The sequence below is a fragment of the Homo sapiens genome, chromosome 10 (genome assembly GCF_000001405.40).
Source record: "Homo sapiens chromosome 10, GRCh38.p14 Primary Assembly".
NCBI classification, from domain to species: Eukaryota; Metazoa; Chordata; class Mammalia; order Primates; family Hominidae; genus Homo; species Homo sapiens.
Genome location: NC_000010.11, coordinates 100996027 through 101014722, shown reverse-complemented (window position 1 = coordinate 101014722; position 18696 = coordinate 100996027). Strand labels below are relative to the sequence as shown.

Genomic DNA, 18696 nt, shown 5'->3' with positions numbered 1-18696 from the left:
ATGTGAGCAAGCACGTGTCTGGCTAGCGTGTGTGTGTGTGTGTGTGTGTGTCCATGCATTGTCACCTGGAGACTGAGACATGGTCATTTATGCATCCTGTTATCAAGGCCCGGTTTGCAGCAGAGCTGCAGATAGGGGTGTGTGCTGGGGGAAGCTAAGGGGCTTTGGGCTAAACTCAGAAAGTGTCACCCTTAGCTCCCAGCGCTAAGTAGGGCAGCGTGTACCAGCCTCCAGTGGGCCGGCAATGCAGGCTTTGGCCACGAGGTGGGGCTCTGGGTCTGTCTCTTTGGAGGCTCCTTTTCCCTCATCCCTCCCTTCTCCTCTGCCCAAACCTCCCACTTGTGCCCCCATACCACCTGCCGAGCTCAACCACCACCCAAACCTGACCCAAGCCCCCCACACCAAGAGATCAGACCCTCTGCGATGGAGCCCTGGCTGGAGTGATGAGTAAAGTTCTCCTAGTGACTGGGGCATGTAGCCCTGAACTCCAGGCTTCCCTTCTCTCCCCATGTGAGCCATCTCTCTACAGCTGCCAGACCAGGAATCAGAAACCCCTGTCTGGTTGGCCAGGCACGGTGGCTCACGCCTGTAATCCCAGCACTTTGGGTGGCCGAGGTGAGCGGATCACCTGTAGTCAGGAGTTCGAGACCAGCCTGTCCAACATGGTGAAACCCCATCTCTACTAAAAATACAAAAAAAAAAAAAAATAGCTGGGCATGGTGGTGGGCGCCTGTAATCCCAGCTACTCGGTAGGCTGAGGCAGGAGAATCGCTTGAACCCTGGAGGTGGAGGTTGCAGTGAGCCAAGATCGTGCCATTGCACTCCAACCTGAGAACAAGAGCGAAAATCCATCTCAAAAAAAAAAAAAAAAGAAAGAAAAGAAACCCCTGTCTGATCGCTGTACACTCCCCAGGCCACCTGGTGACCCATTGTCTTTGGCAGAGGTGACCCATTGTCTTTGGCTCTCACATTCGAGGTCCTCCCAGATTCAACTCCCTAACCCACCAACCTCCACTTTCCCACGGCCGCCGCATAGGTTTATACAGGTTACAACCTGCACAACCTCAGAGACGCTACTCATATAGTCACAGCCTGTGCAGCAGCCCTGCAGGGAGGCTCTTCATGGACCCCATGGCCACGTTTAAACCACTATCTACTCGTTTTTCCACACCACCTTTGCAACACTTTCTTCCCAACTTTTGTGCTGTTCCCTACGTCTATCTTCTAAGAGTCAGTCAAAATACCACCACCTCCATGAAGCCCACTGGGATCTTCCCACCTTCCTCTGAGACTCCCTGTGCCCCATTGCCCATGGTTTGTAGTTCACCAGGGTATGTGACTCATCTTCCCCTCGCTCCCACTAGACCCAGTTCCTGAAGATCTGAGACAGGATCATTGTGCCCCTGCTGGCCAGTACAGGGCCTGGCACTTAGTAGGTACCGAATCCAAGTCCATGGACTTAAAGCGTGTGCACATATGAGGCTGGTTCTGCACCACATGTGTCTCTCCAGACAAAAGGGAATGTATTATTGATATGTGTATGTGTGAGTCGCTGTAACTGTGTGTGGTTTGGGGCCACACACATCATTTGTATTGTATTTATTTCCAGATATTTATGAATGACTCACTCTGACCACCAAGGCATGCTCTGTCTCTGTGCCTGTGCCCATAGAAAGTGTTCTATGCGTGCGTGTCCCTGACTCAGTCTCCCTCTTGCCACGAGGGGGCGATGTGCTGTCCAAATGGGATGGCTCCCAGTGTTCAGGTCTTCAGAGTCAGTGGGGTGTGGCTGGTGGCATCCGGGCAGTGCCAGGCAGAAGGGGCTCCACCCCGCCCCCCTCCAAGGGAACTGATTGGAGAGGCCCTTCCCCAAGGCTCCTATTCTAGCCCCGAACAAAGCCTAATTTGTAGGTCTGTGTGCAGACATATGCTGGGACAGCCAGGCACACAGCCTAGAGTTTGGCTCAAATTCCTTCCTTCTGCCTGGGATGTGGGGGTGGGGAGGAGAGTCCACTCCCTGCACATCCTTTTCCGGCACCAGAGCAGGCAAGAGTTAGACTTCCCGGGTTCCAGTCCCTCTTCACACTTCCTTATCTGTGTGGCTTTGAGTGAAGTCCTTCTCTCTGAGCCTGTTTCCGCATCTGTAAAACGGGAATAATTAATGCCATTTCTCAGGGTGGTTGCTGAGAGACAGTATGTAAAAGGCTTAGAAAAGTGTCTGTCCCAAAGCTGTTATCGATGCTGTTGCCATTTATTGCAGGTCTGTTATTACTGCAGGCTTCCACCCTGTCACCAAGATCAGACCACCCTGTGGCAGCTGGGGGTGGAGTGAACCTTTCCCAAGGCACGCAGGGCTGGATAGGTCCCTACATGCGTAGAAGAAACACCTGCATGCCCTGGTGTCCCCCTCACTCAGCTCTGGAAGCCCCCACTGCTGTCTGACCTGTGCTGCCTCTATCTGCAGTATGTGCACGAGGGAGGCATAGAGGACCTGGTGAGGCCCCTGCTGGCCATCCTCGACAGGCCGGAGAAGCTGCTACTGCTGCAGGACATCAGGTGGGAGGAGGTTGCAGAGAGGGCTTGGGGGCAGGAAGGGGATCCCTGGTACCACCCCCAACCTCCCGAGGGCTGAAGGGCATCCTGGCACCTCCGGAACTGAAATCCTGCCTGCCCCTCCCACCCCTGCTGTCTCTCGCCCTCTCCCAGGAGTGTGGTGGCCCCCACAGACCTGGGCCGCTTCGACAGCATGGTGATGCTTGTGGAGCTGGAGGCTTTTGAGGCCCTCAAGAGCAGGGCAGGTCAGCAGTGGGGGGCGGGGCTTCTGGGTCCTGAGCCCTGCTGGGGGTGGGGATGGGACCCCGTGGTGGAGAGGGCTGCAGAGATTGCCGAGCCCCTTGAGCTGCCTCCGTCCCGGAGCCTGGCGGGGTACCTTGCCGCTGACCTGTTCATCTCTCCAACCAGTCCGGCCTCCTGCTTTGAGACCAGCCCGGCAGGACACGCCACCCAAGCGTCACCTTATCACCCCCGTGCCTGGTCAGTCAGAGTCCCAGAGCCCAGGGAGGGGCACAGCCCTGGGGAGATTAGGGAAAGGAGGATGGGCCTTCTACTTCTTTCCCCACTAGGGGCAGTTGTGGCTTCCAGGCACATTGTGGTTCCCTGAAGGAAAGCTCTTGTCCACCAGAGCCATTTTATCACATCTGCTGGTCACCACCTGTACTATTACTTAATAGTTGGTTTGAAACCCACTCACTTTTAAAATCTAGTCTCATTCTATGCAGTAACCTCTGAGAAATTACGTTTGGTGTGCTAGTCGTATTTTTTCTTAGACACATTAAAATAGAACGGTAACGATTCCAGCAGGAAGCATTAAAATGTAATTCTAGGCCGGGCGCGGTGGCTCACGCCTGTAATCCCAGCACTTTGGGAGGCTGAGGCGGGTGGATCGCTTGAGGTGAGGAGTAGAGACCAACCTGGCCAACATGGCGAAACCCCGTCTCTACTAAAAATACAAAAATGACCTGGGCTTTTTGGTGCACGCCTGTAATCCCAGCTACTCCGGGAGGCTGAGGCAGGAGACTCGCTTGAACCTGGGAGGTGGAGGTTGCAGTGAGCCAAAATCGCGCCACCACGCCTGGGCAACAGAGTGAGATTCCATCTCAAATAAATAAATAAGCGATTCTAATAGAACATGTCTGTCTGCCTCCCCGGTGGGTGGGCCGCACTGCAGTGGTGCCTGAACAAACTCGGGCCTGGCTCTCACAGGCCCCACACAAACCAAAGCAAGGCCTGGGTCCTGGAGAGGGGAGGAGTGGGCAGCTGACCTTGGCGCTCTTCCCCAGACAGCCGCGGAGGCTTCTACCTGCTGCCGGTGAACGGCTTCCCGGAAGAGGAAGATAATGGGGAGCTGAGGGAGCGGCTGGGGGCCCTCAAGGTCTCCCCAAGTGCCTCTGCCCCTCGCCACCCCCATAAAGGGATCCCCCCTCTACAAGACGTGCCAGTAGATGCCTTCACCCCCCTCCGAATTGCCTGCACACCCCCTCCCCAGCTACCCCCCGTGGCTCCCCGGCCCCTGCGGCCTAACTGGCTGCTGACAGAACCCCTGAGCCGAGAGCACCCTCCGCAGAGCCAGATCCGGGGCCGGGCTCAGAGCCGTAGCCGCAGCCGTAGCCGCAGCCGCAGCCGCAGCAGCCGGGGTCAAGGCAAGTCTCCAGGTAGACGCTCCCCATCCCCGGTGCCTACCCCTGCCCCCAGCATGACCAATGGGCGCTACCACAAGCCTCGGAAGGCCAGACCCCCTCTGCCACGACCTCTGGATGGGGAGGCAGCCAAGGTGGGGGCCAAGCAAGGGCCCTCGGAGAGTGGAACTGAGGGGACGGCCAAGGAGGCAGCCATGAAGAACCCCAGTGGCGAGCTGAAGACAGTGACACTGTCCAAGATGAAGCAGTCCTTAGGTGAGTCCACGTGGGACTGGGCCCGGCAGAGGACACTAGGAAGCCTGGGCCTAGGAAAAGAATCTGGAGGAGTATTGGGCCAGGCGCAGAGGCTCACACCTGTAACCCCAGCACTTTGGGAGGCTGAGGCAGGCGGATCACTTGAGGTCAGGAGGTCAAGACTAGCCTGGGCTACATGGCGAAACCCCGTTTCCACTAAAAATACAAAAGAATTAGCCGTGTGTGGTGGTGGGCGCCTGTAATCCCAGCTACTCAGAAGGCTGAGCGGGAGAATCACTTGAACCCAGGAGGCGGAGGTTGCCGTGAGCCCAACTGAGGTTGCGCCACTGCACTCCAGCCTGGGTGACAGAGTAAGACTCTGTCTCAGCCGGGCGCGGTGGCTCACGCCTGTAATCCCAGCACTTCAGGAGGCCCAGGAGGGTGGATCACCTGAGGTCAGGAGTTCAAGACCAGCCTGACCAACATGGAGAAACCCTGTCTCTACTAAAAATACAGAATTAGCCTGACATGTTGGCACATGCCTGTAATCCCAGCTACTAGGGAGGGTGAGGCAGGAGAATCGGCTGAACCCGGGAGGCGGAGGTTGCGGTGAGCCGAGATCGTGCCATTGCACTCCAGCCTGGGCAACAAGAGTGAAACTCCGTCTCAAAAAAAAAAAAAAAAAAAAAAAAAGACTCTGTCTCAAAAAATAAATAAATAAAAGGGAATTTGGGGTATTGGGGTGCAGTTGGGTGGGGTCTAGATTTGAGGGGCTGGGATCTGGAGGATTTTGGAATGAGTTGAGATTTGAGTAGTAACAGAATGTAGGGATGTGGGAGAAGTTGGGGCCTTGGATTTGGGGATGGGATTCTAGGTTTCTCCAGGGAGCTTGCATTTTGGGGTCCGGCTGCACTCTCACACGGTGTTTCTCCCTGTCACTAGGTATCAGCATTTCTGGGGGCATTGAGTCCAAGGTGCAGCCCATGGTGAAGATAGAGAAGATCTTCCCTGGGGGGGCCGCTTTCCTCAGTGGGGCCCTGCAGGTGGGTGAAGCATGCCCTGGCCCACCCTCTCAGAGCACAGCTGAAACCAGGCAGGAGGTGGGGCTGGCCATGCTCAGCTTCCAGCCAGACATGTTTAGCCCGGGTTGTGGGAGGAGGCTTGGGGTGAGGGGGTTCAGGTGAGCAGGATGAGCAGGCCCAGGGAAAACTCTGTCCCCTCATGCTAGCCTGAGCCTGAGCCCCAAGGGACAAAGAGCCCTTGTCTGTGCCCCACCCTGCCCCCAACAACTGCAGGCACAAAAGTCTCATTGTCCATCCCCTCCACCCAGATGGGGGAGGAGTGTCCTCATGGGTGGAGGTGAGAAGATGCTGCCTTCAGGTTGGGGGCTGATGCAGGGTGACATGAGGAGGGAGGGATGTGACTCTCTCACCCCACCCTAGGCTGGCTTCGAGCTTGTGGCAGTGGACGGAGAGAATCTAGAGCAGGTGACCCACCAGCGTGCAGTAGACACCATCCGTCGGGCTTATCGAAACAAGGCCCGGGAGCCCATGGAGCTTGTGGTCAGGGTCCCCGGGCCCAGCCCACGGCCCTCACCCTCTGACTCATCAGCCCTTACTGATGGGGGCCTTCCTGCTGACCACTTGCCTGCCCACCAACCCCTTGATGCTGCTCCAGTTCCTGCCCACTGGCTCCCAGAACCTCCCACCAATCCCCAGACTCCTCCCACTGATGCCAGGCTCCTCCAGCCAACTCCCAGCCCAGCCCCCTCCCCAGCCCTCCAGACTCCTGATTCTAAGCCCGCACCCTCCCCACGCATCCCATGACCCTCCCCCTAACCTCAGATTCACCCACTGACTCCAGCATCCCGTTATCCCCAGGACCTCTCCTACCAACTTCTTCAGGACTCTCCAGCTCCTGCCCACCCTGCCTCCTCCCAGTGCCACACTGGTGGCTCACATCTTTCCACTTTCTTCCCTCCTCAGCTGTCATTAAGGCTCTGCCTTAGTGTCCAAGGACAAGGTGCTAGTGGGCAGCCTGTGTCACCTGCACTCACTGCTCCCCAACCTCCCAAGCCAGGATAGGGGGTGAGAAAGCCAAGGTCTGGAGCTTGGGATTGGTGGGCACTTTCTCACATGCTGTCCCTTATGAGTCGCCCAAGCCTCCAGGGACACAGACTCTCAGACAGGGCCCTGAAGGGGTCAATGCATCCATTCCTCAACCCCAAGCAGCATTCTGTGCAAGGAAACGGATGAAAGGCTTTTCTAGTCCCTGAAATCCTGAGAGATCATTTCACGTTGGGGTCCACTAAGACCTCAGACATTCTACTGGATTTGTCCTTCCTCCATCACCTTTTCTCCCCAAGAGAGCTCTATGAGGGGGAGGAGAATAGCCAGCAAATGGTGGGGGGGGGGGGGTCAAACAAGTTCCTGTACTCTTTATCCAGCACATTCACATTATTTTTAAACAAAAAAATTTTTTTTAATTTTTTCTTTGGGTTTGTACAAGAAATTTACAGTGTGAAAAATATACAAGTGAAAACGAGGCCATAAACCTGGGTGAAGGGAGAGGCTGCTTGGTCACAAACACAAATAAACAAGACATTTCTGAGTTCTTCCTTTGGTCTGACTTCAGCCCCCTCACTCCAGGAGAGAGGCTGCAGAGCTCAAACCTGGGAACCGAGCCCAGGCCCGGCCCTGTCCCCCAATGTGGGCAGGCACATCCGGAGCAGCTGGTGCCATCTGGCTTTCTCTGGCTTTGGGGTCGGGGGGAATGTGAAGAGGAGGGAGCCCCTTCTTCTTCCCTGCTCCCCTGGCTGGAGTGGGCTGGAAGCGCCTGTGAACAGGGTTGGCAGTGGCACTGGCAGCGGTGGGGAATGAAGTGGGTAGTAACAAGAGCCTCTGGGTAACAGTGAACACGGGGACCTTTGAGCGGTCTGATCTTGCTCCTCCAAGTCATAGGGCCACCCTGAGTTCTTGGCAGAAGCCCAGAGGCCTGGATCCTAGGAGACAAGTGGCTTTGGGGCCCTCAGCCTTTGGGGCCATCCGTGGACCCTGGGGCCTAAGTGGATCTGCAGCTGCTGCCCCTCTGGCAGAGCTCCCTACAGAGCTGGTTGCTGAGGGCCCTAGATCTCAGTAGCAGTGATCTCCTCCAGGCAGATGCAGGGGGCCTGCTCGGCCAGGCCCAGGTCAGCGAGCTCCCGGGCCTCCAGCTCCAGGCTGAGCTGCTGCAGCTCCTGCTCTAGCTGCCGGTTGCGCCGGTACATCTGGATGTAGTTGTGCTGCAGCTGCTTCTGGTAGCGGATCACCTGCTCCTTCTCTGCCTGCCAGGCCAGCCGCTCCCCCTCAAAGCTGTCCCGCTGCTCCTCACCCCGCCGCCGCTCCCGCTGCAGCTCCACCCGCAATCGCTCCACCTGGGCCCGCAAGCTGCCCCCAACCCCGGCTGCTGCCCGCTGCACTTTGGCCTCATCACTCTCTGCCAGGAGGAATGGGTCAGCGGTGGCAGGTGGCACAGGGGGCTCCCGGAGTCCGGCCGCCTCAGCATCCAACTGCCCAGCTTTCTCCCGCAGCTGCTCAGCTTCCTGGCGGTGTCGCTGCAGCTCCTGGGAACAGGCTTCCAGCTCCAGCTCCCGAGCTCGGGCGGCCTCCTGTAGACCCCGCGCACGGCCCTCACTGACCCGCAGCGTAGCACGGGCCTCCCGCAGCGCCACCCGCAGAGCCACCAGCTCGCTGCCCTTCTGCACCAGCTCTGCCTGAGACTCTTTCAGCTGCTGCTTCAGCAGGGAGATCTCGCCTGATTTCTGGCACACCTGGGGGTGGGAGGAAGTGGGGAAGGATGGTGAGACAGGTTCTCCTGGGGGGACAGGCCCTGCACATCATGCTGGGCATTTGGGAGAGAAGAGTCCATCTTTATCCCCATTTTACAGATGGAGACACTAAAGCAAGTCTAGTGACATGTCCAAGGTCATACAGTTAAGATGGGGCTTAAGTGGAAAGCAGACCTAGAACTTTTTGCTTCAAAGCTGGTGTCTTCAAAGCATCACAAGACACTGCAAGTACCACCAAGCCCTGGGGACTGGGGACTGGGGACTGGGTCCTGGCAAGTGCTGCAGGAGTGGGGACAATGGAGGGCAGTGCCCAGGTGCCTGCTGGAGAGGTACTACAGTGACCTAGTTAAGAGCTCAGATATTGGAGCCAGACTGCCTGGGTTCAGATTTGGGGCTTCAGCCTTTATGGGCCTCAGTTTACTCATCTCTAAAATGGGGAGACTAATGGTAGCCCCCTCAGTGTTGTTATAAGGATGAAATGATCTGTTCCATGTAACATGCTTAGAATAGTGCCTCCACACCACAAGCACCACATTCTTACTACTGGCTGGAAGCGTGGCTACGTGCCACTAGACAAGGCCAACAAGGAGACCCCCCTCCCAGAAAGGGACAGAGGGGAACCTCATCTCACGGAGGTGAGAAAGGGGAGGACCTCTGGGGGTGGCAGGCTGAGGGAGGGTGGGGCTGGGCCCCTTTTTCCAGGGTTTCTCCCTGTGTGACCCTGCTCCCTGCCCCTCCTGGTCTGGCCCACCTCCCACTTGGTCTCCTCAAGCCTCGGCCCGAGCTCCCGCTGCTCCCGCTCCAAGGTGGCGCAGCGCCGCTCCAGCTGTTCGCGCTCCTGCAGCAGCTGTGCGAAGTCGTCCTGCAATTGCCGCTTCTCCTGCTGCAGCTGGAACACCTGCAGCTGCAGCAGCTGTTGGGCCCGCTGTGCCCGCTGTGCCTGGGCCGCACAGTCCTCTCGCAGGGCCTCACGCTCTCGCTGCCAGTGCCGCTGCCGCTCCTCGTATGCCTGCAGGCGAGAAGAGAGACCTGGCTCCTGGGCAGTTTTCCCAACTCCCCACTCAGTGTCTGCTCTGGCAGCCCACTTCCGAGGGCTCAGGAAGGGTGGATTCCATTAAACAACAATAGTAATTGCAACAACAATACTAACTGCTTTTATGATGATCATAGAAACAAACACAAGAGCAAGCAGACCGGGCTCGGTGGCTCACGCGAGGTGGGTGGATCACTTAAGCTCCGGAGTTCGAGACCAGCCTAGGCAACACAGCAAAACCCTGCCTCTCCAAAGACCAAAAATTAGCTTGGTGTGGTGGCATGCGCCTGTAGTCTCAGCTACTTGGGAGGCTGGGGTGAGAGGACTGCTTGAGCCCAGGGGGTTGAGGCTACAGGGAGCTGAAATCACGCCACTGCTCTCTAGCCTGGGTGACAGAATGAGACCTTGTCTCAAAAAATAAAAAAAGCAAGCACTTGGCCGGGTGCAGTGGCTCACGCCTGTAATCCCAGCACTTTGGGAGGCCGAGGCAGGTGAATCACTTGAGGCCAGGGGTTCGCGACCAGCTTGGCCAACATGGTGGAAACCCTGTCTCTACTAAAAATAAAAAATAATAAAAAATTTTAAAAAAGGCAAGCATTTATATAGCACTTCCTAGGTACCAGGCATTAGTCTAATCACTTTACACCTTTTGCCTTATTTAATCCTCATAATAATCCTACGAAGCTAGAAATATCCCTATATAGATGAAGAAATAAAGGCTGAGTAAAGTTAAGCAACTTGCTCAAGCCCAAAAACTAGTATTTGGCAGTGGGAGGTTTGAATCCATGCACTCTGACTCCTTTCCACCCCACAAGTTTTGTTTTTTGTTTTGAGATAGAGTCTTGCTCTGTCGCCCAGGCTGGAGTGCAATGGTGGAATGTCAGTCCATTGTAACCTCCTCCTCCTGGGCTCCAGTGATCCGCCCACCTCAGCCTCCCAAGTAGCTGGGACTACAGGTACATGCCACCACACTTAGCTAATTTATTTTTAGTAGAAATGGGGTTTCCCCATGTTACCCAGGTTGGTCTCAAACTCCCGAGCTCAAGCAATCCGCCCACCTCGGCCTCCCAAAGTGCTGGGATTACAGATGTGAGCCACCACACCTGGCTACTCCACACATTAAACCAGACAACTGGTGGGGAGGGCAGGGGGGTCACAACTACAACTACCCAACCCCCGTTCCCTGCCAAAATGGAAATGCCGCTTGCATCCCAGGGCCTTGGGATGTCCTGCCATGCCCCTTCCCCATCATTGCCTCTGACCACACCTGGCACATGGTAGCCTCATTCTCGTCCAGACTGTCCCGCAGCTGCTGAAGCTCTGCCTCCCGGTCTCGGAGCTTTCCTTCCAGGACACAGTGCAGCAGGGCCTCATCCGAAGGAGGTGGAGGCGGGGGTGGTGGTGAGCGCTCCCCACAGGAGCTGCTGTCAGGGGAGGCCCGAGTACCACTGCCCAAAAGCCCCCCAGCCACACGGCCCCCTAGGGAGCCTGTGCTCTTGCTGGAGGAGGACCGGCCACTGTCTGAGTGGGAGGGCCCAGTAGGGACCCCTCGGGCTGGCCCAGGCAGTGCCCCTCGCCCAGAGCCATGGGAAGGCAGGTGCCCGCCTGGGGAGCTGGTGGTTGGCTCGGCACCTCCGGTGCTGTAGGTGGGCAGGCTGGACAGTGAGTTTCGGCCAGAGTCGGATAGCGTCCCTGATGGGCAGCCACTGGCCCAGCCACTAAATGCCAGGGGTTTGTCAGCAGCTGAAGAGGAGGAGGAAGAGGAGGAGGAGGAGGCAGGGCCCCCAAACAGCTGCGTCAGGCTGCCCTGGCTCCCAGACAGCCCGGTGGCCCGAGGACCCATGAAGCTAGGCAGGGACGGAGCCCCTCGAGGTTTGGGCAGCACTGGCTTGAAGGCTGTTGGGCGGATCAGGATCTTCTCCATGTTCTGAAATGAGGTGCCATGTGACACTGGAGATGAGCTGCCCAATCTTGCAGAGCCCTTATGACACTCCCTGCCCTCCCGTCTTGGGTCCCCAGTGCCCATATATTCATAACAATTGCGGCCACTGGTGGAGGTGGCCACCAGTGTCAGCTTTGTGTCAAGCAATTTGAAAAGTTTATCTCCATTATCTAAATATGATCACTATCCCCATATTACAGATGAGGAAATGGAGGCTCAGCAAGGTTAAAGGCCTTGCCCAAAGTCAAACGTATAACTGGTGCAGAATAACCAGAACGTAAGCAACTAGCACTTACTGCGTACATGCTACGTGCTAGGCACTATGCTATACATTATTTGACCTTCATGTCAGTTCTAGAAACTGAGGCTCAGGTTAAGTGACTTCCCTGAGGTCACACATCCAGAATGAGAGAGAGCTGGGATTAGGACCCAGGTCTGGTGAATCTGGAGCCCACACTCTTTCCTCTATATAAGCTTCTAAATTCCAGTTTCCCAAGCGAGGACTCCCGTTCTACCCAGGCCCACAAGGAAGAGCCGGTCCTCACCTTCTCCAGCTTTCCAGAGACAGGGATGAGCTTTGGTGGTGGGCCGCGGAGGTGGGCATTGTGTGCCCGCTGCTCTCGGGCATCCTCAACATCACTGCTTGGGCTGGGGGGTGACTCTGTCCGGAAGTCCTCATTGATGTAGGTGAAGCTGGTGACAGGGACAGCCTTCCTAGGGGGCACAGCTGGGCACAGCGGCTCCTGTGCCTCATAGCCACCCCGTAGCAGGCCATCCTGCTGGCGGAAGAAGGTGGGCCCAGGAGGGCCGTGGTGGCGGGGAGGAGCTGGCCCCCCGGGACAGGGCCGGCCTGAGATAAGGCTGCTCACACTACCCATGACTGGAGCTTGTGGGGCAGTGGCAGCTTCAGGAGCAGGCTCCAGTGGCACTGGCAGAGTCTGCACAATGGCCATGGTGGCAGAGGCTCAGGCCTGGCCAGCGGCCTCGCAGGCGACCTGTAAGCAGGGCAGTGGTGTCAGAGTCCCTCCACCTTGAGACCCCTCCTGACCCACTGATCCTGACCAAACACCTCCTTGACATCAGTAACAAGCCCTGATCCCCACCAAGACTCCCCCTTCAAGTGCTGGAATGAATCTCAATTCCCCCTGGGCCCCAAACCACACTGCCCAATGCTGGTCTGAACAGGGCTGAGGAGTGAATTCACTCAGCAGAGATGCTGAGAGGCATGGGAGGCCTGGATGATTACCGCAGGGCCACCTGGCAGCAAAGACCCAGGCCCAAGCCCAATCCTGCATCCTCCACAGAGGCCAGGACTCAGGTGAGGGAGGGGCCTTCTCTACCAGCTTGAAGCACAGGTCCCTGGTCCTCTCAGCCAGGTGGCCTCATTACAGGGCAGTTTGGGCAGAGGTACCTCAGGGGTGCAATCAGCACCTCAGATGGTAATTAGGGAACAAAGAGCCAAGGCCAGGCAGTGCCCTGCCTCCCTCTGCTGGGCCTCAGTTTCTCTCAGACAGAAAGGCGGCTAAACTGCCTCTCTGTCGATCTGGCTAAATAAGAAACCCGCGGCTCTTAGGGAGTCCACAGGTGTCCTTTGGGGTCTCCTGCCTCCCAGAGGTGGATGCAGGCTCATACCAGTTTCCATGACAACTCCTAGCCTCTGCACACCCAATCGGTGAGGCCTGAAGGCCTGAAGGAGCCTCCACAGGCTCTGCCCCACTGCCAACCTCTCTGAAACCCTACAGCTTCAGAAGGTCCCCAAACTAACCCTGAGGGGAGGAAGGTAGATGCCCTGCCTTCACCTCTGGAGGCTGCTCCAAAACCTCACTTCCACAGAGCCCAGGCAAGAGGGCTCCACCTCCCCAGGCTCTGCTCCTTCCTGGAAGCAGCTGCAAGCCTCCACCCGGAACCCCCTCCCTAGTCCCAGTCCCGAGGCCGCTGATGACCAGGACTTAGGCATCTGCTGAAGTCATCATGCAGAGCGGGGCCAAGAAGTGGACAGAGAATTGCACTGGGAGTAGGAGTGTGTGCATTTAGTTATTTGTTGTGTGACTACATGCACAGGAGCATGAAAATGAACACGTGTGTATGAAAATGTGTGTGAAAACATCATGTGAGTCTATGCATGTTTGATATATCAGTTCATTCACATACATATGAGTTCATGTGTGAATTCACATGTGTATATCTTAGAAGAGTATGTGGATCAGGGGTCATTAGAAAGCCTGTGAAAGTTATAAATGTGGATCTAACAAGTGAATTTGTGGTGTGTGGGAGAGACGGTGCCTGGACAGACTTGTCAGTAAGTTCATGAGTTTATGTGTGAGCTCCTGTGTTTGTGTGTGACTAGGAAGGTGAGTGGTGCAGTGGAGCCTGTGAACGTGGGCACGCAGGTATGAGAGTGGTGGGAGCCTGGGTGGCTTGAGGGCCCATTGGTGGGGGGAGCCTGTTTCCTTCTCTCTTCGGCGTGTGGGGAGAGGTGGGACATTATCTAACTCCTTTGCCTGATCTGTTCCCCTTCTTTCTCGCATGCCCTCCATTAAATCCACCGCCCTCCTTCCCACCCAAGTCAAAAGACACTGCGAACCAGGAAGAGGTGTCCACGCTGGGGCAGGAGCTGCGGGGAGCTGGGGGAGGGGTAGGCCAGGAGCAGGGAGTGACCACAGGCCCCTCTGTAGGGCTGGGGCTCAGACCACCCCACACACCCCAGCCCCCAGCAGAGCAGATAGAGAACCCCCTCCCCTCCCCTCTCTGGGCCCACTCCAGGGTGTGGAGTGAACAGTGGGGAAGGGACTTCTTAGGGGGCCAAGGGGGCTGGCACCTCTGTTGCATTTCCCCACTTCAGCGAGCACGGAGAAAGTGAAAATTGAAGGAAGGAGACAGGCTCAGAGAAAGACAGGGACCCAAAAGAGACAAAGACTCGGAGAGGCCCGAGGGTCAGGCCGACAAGGGGACAGCCAGCGGGACCCAGTGAGCCAGGGCCCCCCAACCCCACGGAGCCGAGGGCCCATAAGTCCAAAGTGCCACAGAGCCGGGCCCTGAGAGCCACACATCCAGGGAGCCAGAGCCAGGAGTCTGGAAAGCCAGGCCCAGCCAGGCCGGCTCCCGCTCTTGGAGCCCGAAAGAGAAGGAGGGGCAAGTGGAGGCTCCATTTTGAGAAATGCGTTTGTGGCTGTGGGAGATGGGAACCCCTCATTCTCCCCAGCACTCCCTGAGCAATCACTCTGGCCCAGGAGCACCCCCCTTTTAGTGGGCTGAGGAGAGCAGAGGGCTGGAGCTGGTTCAGGGCCGGAGACGGATCTGAAGAGTTGGGGAAAGTCTCCCTCCCACCCAAACTCCAAGGACCAGTCAAGCGGGGTCAAGTCTGCGATCACGAGTTCCCATTCTGCGGCGGGAAGCCAGGAGCCCCTGACCCATTCTCCAGAGTCCAGCCCCCCTTCCAGAAAGTGGGGGCGACTGGGGAACGCCGTCCCCCCGGCTGGATTCCACCGCGCATAAGTTGGGGGCTCCCCAGGCCGCCTCCCAGACCCGGCCCCCCTCACCTCCGCCGCGCTGCTCCATGCTCAGCCCCAGGCCGCCCCCAGCGCTCCACAGGCGCGCCGCCCGGCCCCGGCTCCGGCTCCGGCCCCGGCCCCGGCCCCGGCCCTGGCCCGCGCGCCGCCACTCGGAGCTGCCCGGCCCAGCCCCGCCTCCGCCTCCGCGGCGCCCCCGGCCCTGGCCAGCCCCCGCCCGGTGCGAGTGGGCGGCACCGCGCAGGGGAGGGTCCGAGGGGCGTCTCCGCCCCGGGGCGCGGACACGCGCAAGCACCCGCGTCACGCGAATCCGCCGGGGCGCACGTAGGGGCTGCTCGGCGGCAGTCGGGAGCCCTCCCTCCGACGCCCTGTGACTGCGTGTCTGGGGGCTCGGTTCGGCTCGACGCGGCGGCGGCGGTGGTCACCCTCAACCCCAGCCGGGGCCCCGGGGCCAGCGGCAGCTGGTCATTGTTCCAGCACAAAGGGCCACGGCGCGGCGGCGGCCGCCCCTCCCCCTCCGCTTCTCCAGGCGAAGCTTCCCTGACACGCTCTCAGCCTCAGAGTCCCAAGCGAGAGGCCGATGGCCGGCCGTCCCCCACTCTCCGGTGCCGGGACCCCGCGCCCTAGCCCGAGTAGGAGGCCGAGGCTCGATCCGCGCCTGCCCCACGGCGGGTTGGAGGCGGCAACCTGGGCTTCGCGGAGGCGACGCCACCTGGCGGCCGGCTCGGAGAACACACCCAGCCGCCCCCAACACGCGGGCCCTGCCCCACTCCCCGGCACGGTGCCCTTTTCCCCGCGAACCCAGGCCGGCCTCTGGCGCGACCGCGTGCTCCCCAGCCTCCCCTCGGGATCACTTGCTAAGAGAGAGGTCATTTATCGGAGAGGAGCGGCCCCTGGCTCCCCAACAATCACTGGGGCGAACCGGTGCAAGCCTACAGCCCAAACCTACACCAGCCTCACGGCAGACAATATTCCACTTCCTCAGGGTCAAGTAGTCTCACCTTCTCGCACACAATACAGTCTCCCTAACACCCACAAGACCTTTCCCACATGCAGCCGCAGTCTCAGCCGTCACGTGGGTCCGCGTTCCTTCTTTCCATAATCTTCCAGTCCACCTCACACACAGACACGGTGTCACAGGCCTGTTGGGCACAGGCTTCCACAACAATCCGCAGTCCTTCGCACCCAGTCACAGTCTCAAGTGCACTTAGTCTCCTAACCATCTTTCACGCATTGACAGCCTCTATTCACAGTCACTCACACAGACAACTTCTTACACGCCGTGCTTCACAAATATTCTACCGCACAGCCTTTCCCCTAGGGGTCTCGGTGACCCGGTCAGGTCAGCTGATGCCTGCATCCCTGGGCAAAGGCAGCCTTTCTCCCCTAACCACCCCCTCCCCCGCAGGGCCAAGGCCTGCCGGAGCTCGCCCGGGCCCCAGGAAGGAGCATCCCCCCCTTCCAGGCCACAGCCCTGGCCGGCTCTCAGCTCTATTTTTAGCTCCATGGACAGGGTTGTTTTTCTTTCTTTTTCCCTGGAAAGGGAAACACAGCCCAGCCACCCTGACTCACCCCAGACCCTCAGCCTCACAAGAACAGACTGAGCCCCTCTCCCCAGCAGAGCCCCCTCCTCTGGCCTTGCCCTGATCCCTGCCTCCTGGGGCACCGAGAGCCTCCTCCTCTTTCTGGCAGCCTGCCCAGCTCAGGCGGCAGCTGGGCTCAGCGTGTGTGTAGGGGTAGGGGGTGGGGCGAGGAGGAGGCATCGGGCTACTGCCCACTCCCTCATTCCCTGGGGGGAGGGGCTCGTCCTCCTTTTTCTAGGGGGGCAGGCCCACTCTGGTATTGAGGGAGCGTTTACACTCATGCATTTTCTGGGGGGAGGAGACTCCGACTCCCGCAAGGAGTGGAGGTGAGGGTAGGAAGGGGACCCGCAGGCGCTCAGGCAGCTGCTCTCTGGGCTGGCGGTAACAGGCGGGGGCAGCTGTCCACTGCCATCAAGGGCCTGTCTCCGAAACCTTCAGGGATGCAGACACCAAGAATGTGCTGGGGAGAAGGACGTCCAGGAGCCCGAGTTAACCCCAGCCCTGCCCAGCAGCCGGGCCCTCCTGCTCCGCCCCGGCTCCAGGGGGCGCTGTGCTCCGGTTCCCGGGAGAGGGCTTATCCCCGCTCCAGGCGGAGAATGGAACGCCGTCCGGCCTGGGACCAAGCAAACGCGCCCCGGACTAGGGTGGATTTCCGCCCCGTGGTTGGGTTGGGGGCACAGGCCACTGGTCTGCGGAGCTGTCACGTGCTCGGCGTCTGTTTACGTCTTGGTCTTCACCTGCGGGAGGCCAGGAAGCAGGAACCTCCGGGTGCGTCCCACCCGGCCCGCCCCCGTCGGTAGTCACAGGGCTGCCCCTTTCCCGCACCCAATACGCGACCGCAGAGTGCCCTGCCCGCTGTGGGTCCGCGCGGGCCGGCTGGCGCTGTCCCTGGGAGTGCAAGGGTGGCCAACTGGGCGCGTCCTTTCCGAGTGCATGTGTGTTCGCGTGTCCCAAGTGCGGGCGTGGGTCTGTGCACGCGTGTGTGGGGCCCGTCGGCGTGCGTTTTCGTGTCACTTCCCTGTTCGGACTCTTCGCGGGGACCCCACCAAGTGCGGACCCCCCTCCTCACCCCAACCCCTAGCTTCCCTAGAAGCGGAAAGTTCGTTCAGGAGCGGGGATGAGCGGGAGGCGGGAGTTCCTGCACCTCCGCCGCCCCACCACTCACCCAGCGCCACCTGCGCCTCGGCTCCAGTTCCGGCCCCGCTCCTGCTCCAGCGCGCCCACCTCCTCGCCGCGACAACGCCGGCTCCCTAGCCGGCTCCGAACTCTAGGTTCCGAACTCTGGGCTCCCGGCTCCCAGCTCCCGGCGCCCGCCTGGCCCGACCTGGTGGAGCGGGGCGGGGCGGGGCGGCTCAGGCCGCGCCCCCCACCCAGGGAGGGGAGTGGTCTGCCCCGCACTCCACCAGCAGCCGACCCAGTGCCCAGCCTAAGAGTGACTCGACGGTGGCCGAGGCTGCCCCTCTGGCCTCTGACTTCACAGCTTACTGGATTTGGTTTTTGACCTGGGGAAGGGGGCGAGCATCACGTGACCGAGAATTCGGCTACCTGGCTGCCTTAAACTAAGCTTAAACTAAGAGCTTGACTCTGCCACCCTCCCTGCTCCGATGGGAGCCCAACCCGGTCCACTCTTGGCCCAATCCCCAAATACAGGGACAACCCCTGGGAAGCAGACAAAGAAGGCTCAAGTTTCACCAGAGCAGCTCCCACCTACCCCTACCACGCACACACCTCAGCGTGGGGCTGCCCAGGCAGAACCAGCACAGCCCCCTCCCTAGAGTAGGTATCTGCCCAGGTGAGCAGGCCTGCGGGTTCTGACCCCCACGGGGCATGGCTGGGCTTCTCGAAGACTCATAAAGTCCCACCCACAGGCACAAACAGGAAGTTGGCCTGTATTGCAGGGAGGCCCCAAGGGCTCCCTCCCACCATGGCACTCAAGGCAGCATGTAGGAAGGTCTACAGGTATCTGGCCCATATGGGCTACAGGAGACCTCGGTGAGTTGTTTTTTGAGACGGAGTCTCGCTCTGTCGCCCAGAATGCAGCGGCACGATCTTGGCTCATTGCAACTTCCGCTTCCCAGGTTCAAGCGATTCTCCTGCCTCAGCCTCCAGAGCAGCTGGGACTAGAGGCGCGCACCACCACGCCCGGCTAATTTTTGTATTTTTAGTAGAGACGGGGTTTCACCATATTGGCCAGGCTGGTCTCAAACTCCTGACCTCGTGATCCACCCGCCTCGGCCTCCAAAAGTGCTGGGATTACAGGCGTAAGCCACCGCACCCGGCCGAGTTGTTTCTTCTTAAACCCATCCACAGCAGAGAGGAAGCTGCCAGAGGACCAAAGCTGTCCCCTCATGGCCAAGTGTGACATACATTATC

At 59.0% G+C, this 18696-nt stretch overlaps 2 protein-coding genes across 23 annotated transcripts in view, besides 9 other annotated features; one reads left to right on the top strand and one right to left on the bottom strand.

The window, feature by feature from the left end:
- Positions 1-7044, top strand: part of PDZD7 (PDZ domain containing 7) — a 23451-nt gene extending 16407 nt beyond the window's left edge. For 4 of the 9 annotated variants that reach the window (NM_001437429.1, NM_001195263.2, XM_011540177.4 and 1 more), the window contains 6 exons: positions 2465-2556; positions 2707-2798; positions 2962-3033; positions 3840-4451; positions 5373-5473; positions 5873-7044. In NM_001437429.1, coding sequence (NP_001424358.1) covers positions 2465-2556; positions 2707-2798; positions 2962-3033; positions 3840-4451; positions 5373-5473; positions 5873-6256 — 1353 coding nt within the window. In that variant the 3' untranslated portion in view covers positions 6257-7044. Of the gene's footprint in view, positions 1-2464; positions 2557-2706; positions 2799-2961; positions 3426-3839; positions 4452-5372; positions 5474-5872 lie in introns of those variants that run through there. The other 5 variants (XM_011540179.4, XM_047425768.1, XM_005270165.4 and 2 more) reach the window with 5 other exon arrangements.
- Positions 432-481: an enhancer, noted in NCBI's record as "active region_3905". NCBI's record gives its function as "activates an Ori minimal core promoter by ATAC-STARR-seq in GM12878 lymphoblastoid cells {active_cell/tissue: GM12878}" and the evidence as "EXISTENCE:reporter gene assay evidence [ECO:0000049][PMID:35858748]".
- Positions 1450-1579: an enhancer, noted in NCBI's record as "active region_3904". NCBI's record gives its function as "activates an Ori minimal core promoter by ATAC-STARR-seq in GM12878 lymphoblastoid cells {active_cell/tissue: GM12878}" and the evidence as "EXISTENCE:reporter gene assay evidence [ECO:0000049][PMID:35858748]".
- Positions 5084-5764: an enhancer, noted in NCBI's record as "H3K4me1 hESC enhancer chr10:102768716-102769396 (GRCh37/hg19 assembly coordinates)". NCBI's record gives its function as "activates a minimal SCP1, AML or CMV promoter by ChIP-STARR-seq in naive H9 embryonic stem cells {active_cell/tissue: H9 hESC(naive)}" and the evidence as "EXISTENCE:reporter gene assay evidence [ECO:0000049][PMID:30033119]".
- Positions 5765-6446: an enhancer, noted in NCBI's record as "H3K4me1 hESC enhancer chr10:102768034-102768715 (GRCh37/hg19 assembly coordinates)". NCBI's record gives its function as "activates a minimal SCP1, AML or CMV promoter by ChIP-STARR-seq in naive H9 embryonic stem cells {active_cell/tissue: H9 hESC(naive)}" and the evidence as "EXISTENCE:reporter gene assay evidence [ECO:0000049][PMID:30033119]".
- Positions 6890-18135, bottom strand: LZTS2 (leucine zipper tumor suppressor 2). Of its 14 annotated transcripts, none has more exons than NM_001394952.1 (5): positions 18052-18135; positions 11777-12226; positions 10557-11216; positions 9008-9265; positions 6890-8238 (listed from the first exon to the last, which is right to left on the bottom strand). In NM_001394952.1, the coding sequence occupies exons 2-5, from the start codon at positions 12182-12184 to the stop codon at positions 7555-7557; spliced, it is 2010 nt and encodes a 669-aa protein (NP_001381881.1). In that variant the 5' UTR covers positions 12185-12226; positions 18052-18135; the 3' UTR covers positions 6890-7554. The 14 variants fall into 14 exon arrangements, with proteins under 14 accessions (NP_001381881.1, NP_115805.1, NP_001381880.1 ...); NM_032429.4 differs by lacking the exon at positions 18052-18135 and adding an exon at positions 17489-17652; NM_001394951.1 differs by lacking the exon at positions 18052-18135 and adding an exon at positions 17548-17652.
- Positions 14774-15153: a silencer, noted in NCBI's record as "silent region_2714". NCBI's record gives its function as "represses an Ori minimal core promoter by ATAC-STARR-seq in GM12878 lymphoblastoid cells {active_cell/tissue: GM12878}" and the evidence as "EXISTENCE:reporter gene assay evidence [ECO:0000049][PMID:35858748]".
- Positions 15254-15663: a silencer, noted in NCBI's record as "silent region_2713". NCBI's record gives its function as "represses an Ori minimal core promoter by ATAC-STARR-seq in GM12878 lymphoblastoid cells {active_cell/tissue: GM12878}" and the evidence as "EXISTENCE:reporter gene assay evidence [ECO:0000049][PMID:35858748]".
- Positions 17454-17743: a silencer, noted in NCBI's record as "silent region_2712". NCBI's record gives its function as "represses an Ori minimal core promoter by ATAC-STARR-seq in GM12878 lymphoblastoid cells {active_cell/tissue: GM12878}" and the evidence as "EXISTENCE:reporter gene assay evidence [ECO:0000049][PMID:35858748]".
- Positions 17827-18696: an enhancer, noted in NCBI's record as "H3K27ac-H3K4me1 hESC enhancer chr10:102755784-102756653 (GRCh37/hg19 assembly coordinates)". NCBI's record gives its function as "activates a minimal SCP1, AML or CMV promoter by ChIP-STARR-seq in primed H9 embryonic stem cells {active_cell/tissue: H9 hESC(primed)}" and the evidence as "EXISTENCE:reporter gene assay evidence [ECO:0000049][PMID:30033119]".
- Positions 17894-18023: an enhancer, noted in NCBI's record as "active region_3903". NCBI's record gives its function as "activates an Ori minimal core promoter by ATAC-STARR-seq in GM12878 lymphoblastoid cells {active_cell/tissue: GM12878}" and the evidence as "EXISTENCE:reporter gene assay evidence [ECO:0000049][PMID:35858748]".